Genomic DNA, 18,211 nt, shown 5'->3' on the forward strand with positions numbered 1-18,211 from the left:
CTCTCAGCAAGATGGGCCAGCATTCAAATTCTGGAAATACAGAGAACACCACAAAGATAGTCCTCAAGAAGAGCAACCCTGAGACACATAATCAACAGATTCACCAAGGTAGAATTTAAGGAAAAAAATGTTATGGGCAGCCAGAGAGAAAGATGGGGTTACCCACAAAGGGAAGCCCATCAGACTAATAGTGGATCTCCCTTCAGAAATCCTACAAGCCAGAAGAGAGTGGGGGCCAATATTCAACATTCTTAAAGAAAAGAATTTTCAACCCAGAATTTCATATCCAGCCAAGCTAAGCTTCATAAGTGAAGGAGAAATGAAATTCTTTACAGATAAGCAAAGGCTGAGAGAGTTTGTCACCACCAGGCCTGCCTTACAAGAGCTCTTGAAGGAAGCACTACATATGGAAAGGAAAAACTGGTACCAGCCACTGCAAAAACATACCAAATTGTAAAGTCCATTAGCACTATGAAGAAACTGCATCAACTAACGGTCAAAGTAACCAGCAAGCATCATAATGACGGGATCAAATTCACACATAACAATATTAACCTTAAATATAAATGGGCTAAATGAACCAATTAAAAGACACAGACTGGCAAATTGGATAAAGAGTCAAGACCCATCAGTGTGCTGTATTCAGTAGACCCATCTCACGTGCAAAGACACACATAGGCTGAAAATGAAGGGATGGAGGAATATTTACCAAGCAAATGGAAAGCAGAAAAAAAAAACAGGGGTTGCAATCCTAGTCTCTGATAACACAGACTATAAACCAACAAAGACAAAAAAAAGACAAAGAAGGGCATTACATAATGGTCAAGGGATCAATGGAACAAGAAGGACTAACTATCCTAATTATATATGCACTTGATACAGGAGCACCCAGATTCATAAAGCAAGTTCTTAGAGATCTACAAAGAGACTTAGACTCCTAAACAATAGTAGAGGGGGACTTTAACACCCCACTGTCAATATTAGACAGATCAATGAGACAGAAAATTAACAAGGATATTCAGGACTTGAACTCAGCTCTGGACCAAGCATATCTAATAGTCATCTACAGAACTCTCCACCCCAAATCAACAGAATATACATTCTTCTCAGCACCACATCACACGTATTCTAAAATCGACCATAAAATTGGAAGTAAAACATTCCTCAGCAAATGCAAAAGAACAGAAATCAAAACAAACCATCTCTCAGACTACAGTGCAATCAAATTAGAACTCATGATTAAGAAACTCACTCAAAACCGCACAACTACATGGAAACTGAACAACCTTCTCCTAAATGATTACTGGGTAAATAACGAAATGAAGGCAGAAATAAATAAGTTATTTGAAACCAATGAGAACAAAGACACTACCGGTAGCAGGATCCTGGGGACACAGCTAAAGCAGTGTTTAGAGGGAAATTTACAGCACTAAATGCCCACAGGAGAAAGCAGGAAAGATCTAAAATTGACACCCTAACATCACAATTAAAAGAACTAGAGAAGCAAGAGCAAACATATTCAAAATCTAGCAGAAGAGAAGAAATAACTAAGATCAGAGCAGAATTGAAGGAGATAGAGACATGAAAATCCCTTCAAAAAATCAAGGGATCCAGGAGCTGGTTTTTTGAAAAGATTAACAAACTAGGTAGACCACTAGCCAGACTAATAAAGAAGAAAAGAGAAGAATCAAATAGACGCAATAAAAAGTGATAAAGGGAATATCACCACTGATCCCCCAGAAATACAAACTAACATCAGAGAATACTATAAACACCTCTATGCAAACAAACTAGAAAATCTAGAAGAAATGGTTAAAGTCCTAGACACATACACCCTCCCAAGATGAAACCAGGAAGAAGTCGAATCCTTGAATAGACCAATAACAAGTTCTGAAATTGAGGCAGTAATTAATAGCCTACCAAGCAAAAAAAGCCTAAGACCAGACAGATTCACAGCCGAATTCTACCAGAGATACAAAGAGGAGCTGGTACCATTCCTTCTGAAACTATTCCAAACAATAGAAAAAGAGGGACTTCTCCCTAACACATTTTATGAGTCCAGCATCATCCTGTTACCAAAACTTGGCAGAGACACAATTAAAAAGGAAAATTTCAGGCCAATATCCCTGATAAACATTGATGTGAAAATTCTCAATAAAATATCGGCAAACTGATTCCAGCAGCACATTAAAAAGCTTATCCACCACGGTCAAGTCAGCCTCATCCCTGGGATGCAAGGCTGGTTCAACATACTCAAATCAATGAACGTAGTTCATCACATAAAGAGAACCAATGACAAAAACCACATGATGATCTCAATAGATGCAGAAAAGGCCTTCAATAAAATTCAACACCCCTTCATGCTAAAAACTCTCAATAAACTAGGTATTGATAGAACGTATCTCAAAAAATCAGAAGCTGAAAATGATCATTCTCAGAAAACTAACACAGGAATAGAAAACCAAGCACCGCATGTTCTCACTCATAAGTGGGAGTTGAACAATGAGAACACATGGACACAGAGAGGGGAACAACACACACTGGGGCCTGTTGAGGGGTGGAGGGTGAGGGGAGGGAACTTAGAAGATGGGTCAATAGGTGCAGCAGCACCATGGCACACATATATCTGTGTAACAAACCTGCATGTTCTGCATATGTATCCCAAAACTTAAAGTAAAATTTAAAAAAAAAGAAAAAAACTAAATGCTGCTAATTTTTGTACATTGCTTTTGTAACCTGAAACTTTACCAAAGTCATTTATTAGGTCTAGGGGACTTTTGGCAGAATCTTTAGCAATTTTGTGGTATAGAATCCTATTGTTAGTGAAGAGACACACACATGCTGAGTTACGGTAAGACAGTGCATTACTGATGGGCATTTGAATTGTAAATTGTTATACATTTCTGGAAATTATTGTGACAGTATTCATTAAGGCCATTAAAAGAAGTCATATTCTTTGATTTAGTAGTCATCTAGCAATATAAAGAAAATAAGTAAATATGTGGAAAAAATGGATGTACACAATTATCAGAATAATTCAAATAATTAAAAGTAGTAAACCATCTAATTATTGAACAATACACTGATTAATTACATTATTATCCATTCATATGAGGTCTTGTGTAAACACTAAAATTTATATATTTTGTGAACCCTAGAAAAACCATTTGTCATATTTTATGACAATCACAAAATAAAGAAAAATATACATGAACATTTTAATAAATGCAGAAAGCATCCTTTTTGAAGAATGCTTAGTAACATGAGAAATTCTATCTGCGGTGAACAGGCTGTAAGGTGGTCCCTCATGATCCCTTCCTCCTGGAGTTTACGCCTTTGTATAATCTTTCCCCTTGAGTATGGTTAGTAACTATGGCTTTCATATAATCAATAAAATACAGCACATGTGACAGAATATCTTTATTGTGATAATGCTCCACAGTTCATAGCACCAATCTTACTAGAGGACATAAATTCCCTTTCTGGATTTGATAAAGCAAATTGACATGAGATTTTCCTATAGAGAAAGCCACATGGCAAAAAAGTGAAGGGTATCTTCAGCAGATGGCCATTGAGAAATTTTGGCCCTTAGTCTGATAGCCTGCAAAAAATGGAATGCTGCCAGCAACCACTGGAGCTTGAGAGGAAATTCTCCTCTGGTTGAGCCTCAGATAAGACCACACCATTGGCTAACATCTTGACTGCAGCTTTGTGAGATGCTGAAAGAGAGGATCCAGTTAAGCTGTTATCAAACTCCCGATCCCTAAAAACTGTGTGATGATAAGTATGTATTCTTTCAATCAACTAAGTTTGTGCTGACATTTTTAAGTGGCAATAGATAACTGATATATTACAAAATACTAAGTGAAAAAGCAGGATGAAAACAGTGTATTGTGCCTGTATTTCTTCTCAATAACAGCCCCCAAATCTCAATGACTTACAAAAAACATCTACTTTGAAATTGCATTACATGTTATAAGTTTCAGGGCACTGGTAGCTACTGTGACTCTGCTTAGTTTTCCTTACTTCTGATTTAGTTCCATATATGTTCTGATTCCGGGACCTTGGCTAAAGGAACAGCCCCTGTGTTAGGCGTTCCTATTCTTGTCCTAAAAAGGAAGAGCGTGAACTATGAGCTTAATCTGAACCACACAGTAACATTTAAAGCTTCTGCTCAGATGGGACTTACGTTACATCAGTTTGTTATGGTTATAGGATTGGAATCCCATTTCTCAGCTGGAGTATCAGGCTCATCTCCTACAGGCTTCTCACAGTCCCTTGTTATGGGCCTTCTTGTAGGTCTGGTCTCAACAGTGAGCAGCAGGATTTCTCACATTGAATCTCCCTCATGATTCAAATCTCTCTGTCTTCCACTTCTATGAGCAGCCAGAGAAACTCAGTGCTTTTAAAGGGTTCACCTGATCAGGTCAGGTCCACTCAGATAATCTCCATCTATTGAAGTCAATTTACTTGAAACTTGAATTGTATGTGTAGAAACCCATCATAGTAGTACCTCAGTTCATGTTTGATTGAATAACCAGTGATGAGAATCTTGGGGAGGGAAGGCACCTTTAGAATTCTGCCCACCACACTTATGTGTTACTTTTGTTATCAGAAAAAAAAACACATTTAAAAGATTCGAAAATACACTGCCAATTAAAACTGAGAGGAAGCAGGGAACAAACATTCACTTTGGAATCAGACAAAGCCATTTTCAAATCATGTTTTATTCACCTACCTATGTGCACTTTGGATAACTTATTTGACATGTGGGTACAGTAATAATGAACTCATTTGGTTGTTTTGGATACTACGTGGGATGATGTTTGTAACATGCCTAGCATAGCTCCTAACTCTCCAATTGAAGGCTTCCCAGTATTGGAAGCTCAGATCTTGATTTTACAGTAAATTTTACATCAAATAAATTCCTGATGGTGACTGTGCAAGTAAAGAAAGTCAATAAAAGATTAGATAAGTAGACAGATCGATATATTTATATGGTAAATATATACTTAAGATATATTTGCGACTTGATACAACCTGTTTATTAAGATATTATAATTAAAATTATTATAGAAAGTGCAGGATTCCATCTGTATCACATGTGTTTTTCTTATTCTTGGCAAGGAGGTTGAGTGTAAAAAGAATATGAGATGTTTCTTTACTCAGGCTATGCGTAGTTTTTCTTCACAGTGCCTTGTAGCATGTGCCAAAAGAGATGATGAGAAACCAGGTCTGAAATAAAACCCATTTTTTTCATAAAGAATTACAATTCATCTTTATTTCATTTCCAAGACCATTGCCTTGGTGTTTTAAAATAAATTTTACTTGGAAGATGAGCAATAATCACGGAAGGAAAGGCAATGAAATATCTAATCAATGCCACTGATACACGGCTGTCTAACTGGCAAATGCAAAGCTAGAAAAACAGTCTAAAATGTCAGTTCCATATTATGTATCCACGGTAATAACTTTCATATCACCAAAATGAAATAGCACCACAAATTAGAAACTTATCACAGTACATATGGAAGGGTCCTGAGAAATATTCAAATTTAATGTCATCATTTCTCAGATGAGGAAACTGAGATGTGGAGAGCAGAAGGTGTCTGCTCAGTACTTCACATCAAGTTCTTCTCTTGAGTTCTTTTTAGAGCAGTGGGGTAAATAGAAACCTTGTCATCTTTAGCAAGGTAATGACTGGCTCATCATTTCTTTGTTAACAAGATACTTGTCTACTTAGAACATTTCTTCCTCATAGTAATTTATGACCAGCTAGGTTGGGCATATGGTCAAATACAAGAAATGCATATTCAATGAGTTTATTTTCTTCTTTCTGTTCTCCTTTCTTTATTCTATGTTCATAAGGTCTGCCCATACCCCACCCAAATAGAATGCCAGTAAGCACATGTTTTATTCTGCACCTCTTCTCTCTTACCTGAATCTCAGGAAGGGTCATGATATACTCATTCACATTGAGATGTTTTCAATTGATAAGGCCTAAGAAATCAGTTTTTCTAGACATGTCTATGTGTTCATAGAAGACAAAGGAATGCACTTTATAATTGGAGAATCATCAGGTATCAATTAGCTCAACTGGGAGAGGAGGATTTATTCAAAGTGGAATGGGTTTTTAGACTAGTACAAATCATGGGCTGGAAATCACAGGAAAACACCATCTTTTCAAGCCCACTGCTAAAGCCTGTTGATATTTGGCAGGCTATAAATCTATGATTTGTATAACCCAAGGCTTTGCCAGAGGGCGATTCTCTGGCAATGTTTCCTTCCGGACACATGCAAATTACCTCACAGGAGTTGTTACACTGCCAGTTATTTTGGATGAAGACATAGCCATAAAATGGAAAAAGACCATGTGGAGAGAGGAGTGCTCCTCATCAGATGGAAGTGCCCTAAAAAGGTTATGCCATAGTTGGATCAATGCTGACATGTCTCAGATATAAAGAGGATGAAAAAGTGAGAAGAAAGCTTACCTTTTTTTTCATTACATATACCCTTTGGACAGTATATCCCCATTCTTTCTTACTTTCAAGGTCCATATTAAGTCCCATTTACATCAGAGTTCTCATAAACTTCTCAGAGTTAACATGTTCAGTTAGGAGCAAGAGCCAGTAGTATATTGAGGACTTGAGACGGCTATAGAGTGTCTTTTGCCCAGCATGACAGTAGCCATAGCAGTGACCTGCAAGGTAGCATGGTCTGTCCCAAGAAATATAGTGCGAGCTGAGTGACCAAATACAAAAAGCATGGATTGAAAGAAGTTATATTTCCACTTAGGATGTAGAAAGCTGCAAGAGTGTGTTGCTTCTATCCTAACAATAATAAAAAAACAGCTAATTTACAAAACCATAACTATTTCTGAGTTGCTCCGTTTGCAAAGGTTTCAAAGCAACCAGATGAACTAAATTCCAAAGAATGACAAGCCCCTTTGCCTTTGAAGAGAGGCAAAGAACATACACTATTTTATCTTTTAGAGAGCATGGGAGAAAGGGGTGGCCCACAAAAAGCAGGTAAATAGAAAATAACTTGAATTTTAATTGATTCTTAAAAATCTACTGTGGGCTACTAATTAATCTAGAGCACTTGAAAGACTCAGACAAAATGAGAGTCTGTCCTCACTCATAATATGTTTTTTCCTGGGCCTTCACTAGCTGCTCATAAGAAAAGTTGAAAGCAGTAAGACCTAACAGGATGCCCTTTATCTGTGTTGCAGGCAAATAGGTGGTGATAAGCTGCCACTGGGAGAGAGGCAGAAAATCTTGCCTACTTTCCTGGACTTTGTTCACATCCCAATCATAAGCCACCTGCTACAGGAAGAAGGGGAGGAAATCCTACTGTCCCAGGACAAAGTCCTGTGATTTCTGGAAGAAAGGTAGACACAAGTTTCATCTGCCTTTGGGAAAAGAGTAGAAAACATTCTCAATCCTAGGAGATTAGCTACCACTGGAAAAGGGGCAGAAAACTTTCTTCCATCCAATACACTGACTGATATGACAGAAAGATAGAGATTGACTGTCACCAGTAAAGAAGGCAGGAGCACTATGAAATCCCCATCTCTGAGGCTCATGTGCACAGTGTTAAAAACTGAGGATGCAATTGAAGAATGAGGACCTCCCCTGCCAACAGCACAAGCCTCTTACTGAGTAACAAGGAAAAGCAGTCTACTGCTGAGACAATGCAAGCATGCGGAGAGAGAACACTCTGTTGCACAGGCATACGAGGCTTGCCAAAAGCTGAGGGTGGAACAGGAATACCAAGAAAATCCTTCAAGCATTTTGAGCTCAGCTACTGACTAGATTGACTCAACACCATGTATTAACAACAGCCTGACAAAAGAAATGGAATACACATTTCTGGGCAAAAATACTACTACCTAATTAAGGAAATACAAATTAAAACAACCTCAATTATATATCAGCAATATGTACTAGAATGGTTACAAATAAAAGACCTGGCAATAACAAATGCTTGTATGGATGCAAAGTGAAGAGATCTCTCATAGATTGCTGGTGGGGATGCAGAATGGACAACCACTTTAGAACACAGTTTTGCATTTTCTTATAAAGTTAAATATAGTCTTAACACATGGCCCAACAGCAATTCCACTCCCTGGTAAAGAAAATTAAAATTTGTATTTACACAAAAACCTCTATATGAATGGTGGGAGTGAATGTATTCATAATCACCAAAAACTGGAAGAGGCCATTTTCATCAGTTGGGGAAAGGATAAGCAAAATGTGGTATATTCATTCATACAATGCAAAAATACTCTATATTGAAAGTGATAAATGACTGGTGAACTCAACAACATAAATATATCTTATAAAAATTATGCTACATGAAAGAAGTTAAAAAGACTACATAATGTATTATTCAATGTATATAAAATTAAAGGAAAAGCAAAATAAGATCAGTAATGTCAGAAAATTGGAAAAATAGGAGTTCTTGCGCTTTACTCCCCAGCACAGAAATTCAACTATCAACTACCCACAGGCAAGAATCCCATCCCAAATATCCCAGAATGTGGCAATGAGACTGAGCCACTTGGATGCAAAACTGAGAAAAGCCACAATGAAATTATAAGAGAAATAGTTATTTTTGATCAGACTGCCCCTCTTCCTAGCTAGCACAGCACCACACAAAAAGAACTTGCCTGGTCCTATGGTTTCTACAGTGGGAAAAGTGAGTTGGAGGTGCCCATGAAGCTTCGCTACCATGCTGAGGCCCTTCAAAGGAGGGTCACTCATGTCTCAACCCACAAGCAACATTAGGAGTACCAGCAGTGCTAGATCACCCGGGTTCAGTTAGAAATAAAGAATGCCGGTGAGACACACAGTTACCAGTGTGTGGATCCAGATGATTGCTATGCCTTCTGGCCAAGAAAAGCACCACACTAGAGAAGCTAACCAACAGCATCATGCTGCTGGAAACGTGGTCCATTGGTCTTACAGGTTTGAATCCCTAGCGAGGTTCTCCACACAACCTAGGTGCTCTTGATAAGTATTCCTCAGGTTGAGAGGCAAGTGTACGTTGGCGATTACCCATAGAGGGAGCATCTGGACCCCACTCAACCCTAGTAGTGAAGAGGTAATCTAAGCTCCGAGGCTCATGTTAATTCTTCCCCAGGTTAGAAAGCATTTGCAGGTCAGTGATTACATGTGCGGTGAGCATGCGACCATGTTTAATCTTAGCAGTGAATAGGTAATCCAACCAAGTTCCAATGCTTACATTCAATCTTTTTCAGACTGGGAAGCAACTGAAGGTCAGCAATCACCCACAGAGAAAGCATCTGGCTTCACCCAACCCCAGCTGCAGAGTGGTGACTTCACCAAATTTCAGTGCTATACTGAAGCCTACCCTAGGCCAGGAGGCAAGCCCAAGTCTAAACATATCCACGGACCACAGCCTCTGGGTTTTCCCACCCCATGTGGCTGAGTAGTAACCCCAAAGACTTCAACCAGTCTTGAAGTCCACCACACATACCTGCTCAGCTACAGATTCCAAATAACAGTACCATTGAGCCAGGGATGACGGCCTTCAACCTTACCTGATCAGAGAAAATTACAGATCACTGGCAATAACATCATTTGGTGGCAGAGTATAGTCACTGATTTCACCAGACCATGGAATACAGCCAGCATTACCATTCAACCTCAGACCATAGGAGGTGGTCCAGCCCATCTAGAGAATCTGACACGAAGGTCTGCCTGTTAGGCATTACTGCCAACTCATACAGAAACCCAGGACAGACTAAATAGTAAATATCTATCACCACCAACGGGCACCCGCAAAGGCTGGAAGAGTCAGCCGTTTTCTCAAATGTGCAGGCTTCAACATAAGGACACAATAATAATGAAAAATCAGGGAAATATCACACCACCAAAACAAATTAATAAAGCTCTAAAAATGGACCCAGGAGCAATGAAGATTTATTAGATGATTGACGAAGAATTCAGAATAATCTTAAGGAAGTTCATGGAACTATAAAAAGTAATGGTAGAAAACTAAAAAAAAATTTGGAAAACAATTCATGAACAAAATGAAAAGTTTGGCAACATATTAGAAACAATAAAAAATACAAATAGAAATCCTAACGATAACGAATACAGTAGCTGAACTAAAAAAATATCAATAGAAAGCTTGAACAGCAGACTTGATCAAACAGAAGAAGAATCAATGAGCTTGAAAACAGAACATCTGAAATTATTCAATCAGAGGAGAAACACAATATAATAATAAAGAAAGCCTATGGGAATTATGAGATACTATCAGTTGAACTGCCTTTTGCATAATAAGAGGTATTGAAGGAGAAGAAAAGGCCTAGAAAGGATATTTAAGTATATAATGGCTGAAAATTTCCCAAATCTGGGGAATGATGACAGCATCCAGGTACAGGAAGCTCAGATGTCACCAATCAAATTTAGCCCAAAAGATGCACCAAGTGGCATTATAATCAAATTACCAAAAATCAAAGGTGAAGAACACTGAAATTAGCAGCAGATAAAAAACACATCACATTTAAAGTAACCCCAATAAAACTTTCAGGGAATTTATCAGCAGATAATTCCCAGGAGTTAGTAGAGCGATATATCCAAAGTGCTGAAGGGAACAAAAGAAGGAACTGCCCACCAGGAATACTTTGCAGACACAGCTGTCATTCAGAAATGAGGATAAAATTAAAACTTTCCCAGACAAACAAAAGTGAAGAAAGTTTGTCACCAGTAGGCCCCCTTGATTAAAATTACTAAAGGGAGTTATTTAATCTAAATGAAAGGCTGCTAATTAGTGACAAAAGCATTTGAAAAAATTCATTGATGTAAGTAATACATAGTTACACTCAAAATTCTCTAATTCTAAAAGCAATTTTATCCCTACTAGGAGGATTAAAAGAAAAACCTAAAAGTAACTACTATAGCTACAGTAAATTGTTAAGACATACAAATTACAAAAGTAAGTGTAAATGTTGACATCATGTTATAAAAGGTTAGAGAGGTAGTGAAAATGTGAAGTTTTGTGTGCAATTAAAGGAAAGTTATTATCAGCTTAAAGTAGCCTGTTATAAACACATGAACACATAGAGTGCAAGAATACACACAGGGTCTTTCGTAGGGTGGAGGGTAGGAGGAGGGAGAGGATCAGGAAATATAACTAATGGGTACTAGGCTTAATACCAGTGATAAAATAATCTGAACAACAAACCCCATGACACAAACCTGATCATGTAGCCCTGAACTTAAACGTTAAAAATATATTTTATGTAAGCCTTATGGTAACTACAAAGGAAAAACCTATAGTAGTTGCACAAAATACAAAAAGAAAGCATTCAAAGAATACAGAAATTTATTAAGCCACAGGGAAGAGAGCAAGAGAGGAAGAAAGAAATAAGTGACCTACAAAACAATCAGAAAACAAATTATAAAATTTCTGTAGCAAGTCCTCACCTAACAATAATTACCTTGAATGCAAATGAATTACATTTGCCTATAAAAAGACATAGGACCAGAAATACCATTTGACCCAGCAATCCCACTACTGTGTATATACCCAAAGGAATATAAGTCATTCTGATCTAAAGATACATGCACACTTATGTTCATTGCAGCACTATTCACAATAGCAAAGACACGGAATAAACACAAATGTCCATGAATGATAGACTGGATAAAGAAAATGTGGTACATATACACCATGGAATACTATGCAGCCATAAAAAGGAATAATATCATTTCCTTTGCAGGAGGATGGGGAGAGCTGGAAGCCATTATCATCAGCAAACTAACACAGGAACAGAAAACCAAACACCACATGTTCTCACCTATAAGTGGGAGCTGAACTGAGAACACATGGACACAGGAAGGGAAACAACACACAGTGGGGCCTGTTGGAGGGGTGGCAAGAGGGAGAGCATCAGGATAAATAGCTAATGCATGTGGGTCTGAATACCTAGGTGATGGGTTGATAGGTGCAGCAAACCACCATGACACATGTTTACCTGTGTAACCTGCACGTTGTGCACATGAACACAGAACTTAACATAAAATTTAAAAAAAGAATAAAATAAAAGAGAACATGACTTTGGCATTTTACAAAAGGCAAAAGAAGACATAAAAGTGCCTGAATAAATTTTTTGAAAAACTAGATCCAACCATATTCTGCTTATTTACCTTTGTAGTAGAACACACATAGACTGAAATTAAAGGGATTGATATATTCCATGCAAATAGAAACCAGAAAAGAGTCACTATGTTTATATCAGACAAAATAGACTTTAAGTTGAAAACTATAAAAAGAGACAAAGAAGGTCATTATGTAATGATAAAGCGGCTAATTCATCAAGAGTACATAGCAATTGTAAGTATATCTACATCGAATATTGGATCACCTAAATACATATAGCAGTTATTAAATGATCAGAAAGGAGAGATAGCCTGCAATACTATAACGGTAGGAGACTACAATACCCCACTTTTAGGTCATCTAGACAGAAAAGTAATAATTAAACATTTGTCTTGAGTTATATGTTAGACAAAATGGACCTAACAGACACATATAGAACATTCCATCCAACAGTAGCAGAATACATATTATTCTGAAGTGCTCATTGGATATTCTCCAGGGTAAATTATATGTTAGGCAACAAAACAAATATTAAAAAATTTAAAGATGGAAATCACATCAAGTATCTTTTCAGATCACAATGAAATGAAACTAGAACTCAAAACCAGAAGAAATATTGGAAAATAGAAAAATATGGCAAATTGAACGACATGTTCCTACACAATCAATAGGTCACAGACAAAATGAAAATGGAAACTAGACAATTCTGTGAAACATGAAAATGGAAACACATTGCACCGTAACTATGGGATACAGCAAAAGCTAAAGCTATCTTAAGAGGGAAATTTATAGTGATAAAAGCCTGTATTAACAAATAAAGATCATAAGTAATCTAATGTTACACCTCAAAGAGTTGGAAAAGAGACTAAATTAAGCCTAGTGTTAGCAGAAGGAAGCAATTTACAAAGATCAGAGCAGACAGTAGAGACTAGAAAAACAATAGAAAAAAACAACAAAACTGTTAGTTTTTTTGGGGAAGGTAAAAAGATAAAAGATAAAGGTTTGTATAAACCTTCATCTAGACTAGGAGAAACAGAGACTATCCAAATAAACATGATTAGAAATGTAAGTGGAGACATTACAACTGATGCCACTGAAATACAAAGGATCATAAGAAACTAATACTAACAATTATATACCAACAAATTGAATAACCTTGAAGAAATCGATAAATTCCTAGACCCATAACACTTCAAAGACTGAATTATGGAGAAATAAAAAAAATCTGAATAAACCAATAATGAGTAAGGAGATTGAATCAGCCATAAAAATCTCCTACCAAAGAAGCACAGTACTACACAGCTTCATTGCTGGATTCTACCAACCATTTAAAGAAGAACTAACATCAATTATTCTCAAACTCTTCCCCCAAAATTGAAGTAGAAGTAATTTTTGCAAACTCATTTTAGGAGGCTGGCATTGCCATGACGCCGAAGCCAGACAAAGACACTACAGAAAAAAAAATGTGTATCATGTTATCACAATTTTAATGAGACTAGTTTTATAATAGCAAATCATGTCACTGCACTTGGTTCCTTGAACTTTTGATCAGAAAAGCATAGTATAAATTTAACACTTAAATAAATGTCATGCTTAATGTGCTGGAACTCTTCCAAGGTCAAATTAAATAGCAACTATTGGCAGAAAGTCTACAATCCCCAGACTATGCAGATGTGGCTTGTAGACAATGTTCAAAACTACTCAATATAGTTGATATTTAATAATGATTTTTATGTGAATCCATGTACAAATGTTATCAGATCTGAACCTATTAGAATGAAAGTCTTACTATAGAGAAAGAGTCATCTAAATTTTAAGAGTGTCACCTTACTTTAGAATAACCAAATACTTTAAGTGTCCAGGGCACATTCATTGTCTCTTTTATTTAACTGTGAGGAAGAAATATGTTTGCAAGTTACCTGAAGACAAGGGAAAATTTCATTTAAATCAGTTACTTCTTATTAATAAAAATAGTCCTATGAACAAGAGGTCAAATGTTTGTCTCTCTGGTATATATGATGCAGACTAAACTGAAAATAGGTTAAGTAGAAATGCCTGAGTATTTCCATAGAAGTAAATGTATACACATATCTATATATAGAAAATCCAACTGTTCTGAAGATAAAAATCTGTAGTGCACAGAATAAAGAGTGCCTTTTTTTTTCAAAGTATTTTTTTCAAACACAATAAAGCATTGTTAAATCAGACCCATTAGAGAGACAGTCTAAATTGGTGAAAAGTCTTCAGTATTTAGAATTTGTTTATATAAATTTCTTGCTGTAATTAATTTAAATAATAGTAAAGCATAGTTTAACAGAACATTTAATGAGTTTCATTTTAATTAATATATAATAATAATTTGTAACTGACTCATTGTTTGTATTCAAGTTGATTTTGCTAAAGTCCTTGGAAGCATTTATTCCTCTAAGCAGTTTACTATCACTTAATATTTTTCTTTAACATTATAAATAAGATTGCATTTTTCTGCATACAGAGCCTAAAAAGAGAGTTAAGTCCACGATGTATTAAATTATTATAAAATTAAATAATTAAGACTTGAGTGACTTTAATAAAAAATACCTTCATAATGTATTGATTACATGCAAGCAAGGCAAAACTTCGGAAGTATTGGAAAATAATAAAAAAGAACTAGACATCTAGCAAATATATTGTGCTAGACAGTACCAACATAACTGGTTTATTTGAACAAATTAGCATATTTTGTTAAAAGAAAACAAAAAACTCTCAAGTTGTTTGACAGAATTAACTCATCATTTTTCTTTTTTCTAGCTGGCTGATCCCATACTCTCAAGGTAGCTGAAATATATTTGGTTTCTTAAAATTTATGTTTATTTGAACCAATAGATTTTTTTAAAATGGGATGATGTGATTGTCTTTAAAAAGATATTTTGAAAGCCCAGATTATTCATCAGTTCTCAAGAAATTATGTAGGTCATTTTGTGTGTTGCAGACAAATTTTTTCGCTAGCTTTATTGAGCAGTGGTTGACAAAATTGGTATCTCTTTAAGACATAAACGATGATGATTATATATATGTATATATTGTGAAATGATTACCACAATCAAGTTAGCTAACACATCCATTGCCTCACATACTTACCATTTTGTGTGTGTGTGTGTGTGTGTGTGTGGTGAAAACATTTAGTGTCGACTCTCTAGACAAATCTCAAGTATATAATGCAGTATTATTGACTATAGTAACCATGCTATAAATTAGACCCCCAGAACTCATTCATCTCACATTTGAAAGTTTGTACATGTTGACCAAACTTTCTCCCTGTTCCCCCAACCCATATCCCCTGCGAACCACCATTCTACTCTCTGTTTTCATGAGTTTGACATTTTTAGTTTCTACATATAAGGTCACATAGTATTTGTCATTCTCTATCTGATTTATTTCACTTACAATAATGCTCTCAAGATTCATCCATGTTGATGCAAAAGGCAGGATTTCATTCTTTTTCATAGCTGAATGATATTTCACTGTGTAGATATACCACATTTCCTCTGTCCATTTATCCATGGATGGACATTCAGTTTGTTTTTCTATCTTGGCTAGTGTGAATAATGCTACAATAAACATGGGAATGCAGATATGTCTTCAATATACTGATTTCCTTTCTTTCATATATATACCCGTAAGTGTGATTTCTAGATAATATGGTAGTTATATTTTTAATTTTTTGAGTAATCGTCATACTGTTTTCCGTAACAGCTATACCAATTTACATTCCCACCAACAGTGTGCAAAAGTTCCCTTTATACCCTCACAAACACTTTTTATCTCTTGTCTTTTTCATATAGTCCTCCTTACAGGTGTGAGGTGGTTTTGATTTTCATTTCCATGATGATTAGTGATGTTGAACATCTTTTCATATACCTATTGGTCTTATGCATGTCTTTTTGGAAACATATCTATTTGGGCTCTTTGCTTATTTTTAGACAAGATCATTTGTTTATCTATTTGGTATTAGGTTGTATAACTTCCTTATCTATTTTTGGATAGTAATCCCTAGGGCAAAATTTTTCAGATCTTGAAACTTCAAGAACATAAGGCTGCTAAGAATATAAAGAAGCAGTATATATACATACATGTAATAATTAGAGAAAAATACAGAGTAGCCTTAATCCATTCATTATTTTATTCATCTATTCAACTAACATGTTTCAAGTGCCTATTGTAACAAGTTCTAAATTGTAAAAATGCATAAGGAAATTATTTGTTATCTAAGAGCACTCAGTCTAGTGGAGAAGGCAGACTTATGAAGAGATAAGTGAAATATAATGAGAGGTAGGCATAGTAGCCAGGTATAATATTATGGAATTCTTTGTAAGAGATGATAATGACCTAATATGAGGAGATGTCTGCTGGGAACGTGAAGAAAAGATAGATTTTGAGAGACACCTAGGGAACAGCATTGATAGTATGTAGTGATCCTATGATACTGGAAGAGAAAGGGATAGGGTTTTATCAGTTTTCTACTTTTGTTTACTAGGCATTCATCTGCCATCTGCTGAGACAGGAGACTCAGATGGAGTGGTAGATTAAGGTCTGAGTGCACAAACAATGGGTTCATTTTTTGATATGTTCACATGAAGTGTTTGTGGAATATTTAAAACTATATATCAGGCTGGGTGCAGTGGCTCATGCCTGTAATCCCAGCACTTTGGGAGGCCGAGGCAGCCGGATCACGACGTCAAGATATCAAGATCATCCTGGCCAACATGATGAAACCCTGTCTCTACTAAAAATACAAAAAGTAACTGGGCGTGGTGGCTCATGCCTGTAGTCCCAGCTACTTGGGAGGCTGAGGCAGGAGAATCTCCTGAACCCGGGAGGTGGAGGTTGCAGTGAGCCGAGATCGCACCACTGCACTCCAGCCTGGCGACAGAGCAAGATTCTCTCTCTCAAAAAAAAAAAATCTATATCTATATCTATATCTATCTATATCTATATCTATATCTATATCTATATCTATATCTATATCTATATCTATCTATCTATCTATATATATATCCAGCAGATGGAACGATAATAGATATCTGTAAATGGGTAGAGCAATCAGAAATATGGTTATGAATTTGGGAATAATCAGTGCACAAATGACAGGTGAGGCCATATAATACTAGTGTGCCAAGAGAAAATGAAAAAGTCTAGAGAAATACTTATTTCAAGGAACATAGAGAGGAAGATGAGCCCCCAAAACAGACTGAAAAAGGCAACTAGAAAGGAGGAAATTTAAATGAGTGCGATATCACAGGAATCAAGTTAAAACACTGTTTTGAGGAGAAGGGAATAGCCAACTGTGAAGGCTGCTGCTAAGAAGTCAAGATGAAGATTGTACAATATTCTTTCACTTCAGAGTCATAGAATTCTTCAGTGACATTTATGAGTTTCAACAGACTTGTGCAGACAGAAGCCAAAATGAAGTAAGTTGAAGAGTGAGTAGGAAGTGAGGAGGCATAGATGTTGAATTTAGACAGCTCATTAAAGACATCTGGCTGTGAAATTGACTAAGAAGGATAACCTGTAACCTGGATGCTATAAAAAAGAATCCAGGAAGGTTTTTGTTTGGTTTGGTTTTGGAAAAAGACTTGAGCAAAAATACTTGTTGATAAGAAAGGCTTATAGAGAAAGGCTAAATAATCAAGAGAATGGATATAGGGTAAAGTAAGGGGATTTAATTTTTGCAACTTCTTAGTGACTTAAGATTTTTGGTGAGCTTTTGCTCAGACATTAGGCTTTATTTATGCATTCAAAAACATTTACTAAAAATTTCCTCTGTGACAGGCTCTGTGTGAAAATCTAACAATCTAGTGATGTTTGAGTAAGGGGAAAGATAAACAAAGCAACAATTTCTGTAGAGTATACTAAGTGCTCGAGCTAGTGTTGAGAAAAGCAGGGTGCTACAGGAATGGTGAGTGACCTTCAATGTTGAACTTGCTCTCCTTATACTTTGAGGTTTATAAAAACAGCTTAGGTTACTTCTGTTGACATTCCACTAGTCAGAAATCTGTCACAGGTACCTTACCATTACTTCCAGGAGACTGAGAAA

This window comes from Homo sapiens, chromosome X (assembly GCF_000001405.40).
Source record: "Homo sapiens chromosome X, GRCh38.p14 Primary Assembly".
In the NCBI taxonomy this organism is placed as follows: Eukaryota; Metazoa; Chordata; class Mammalia; order Primates; family Hominidae; genus Homo; species Homo sapiens.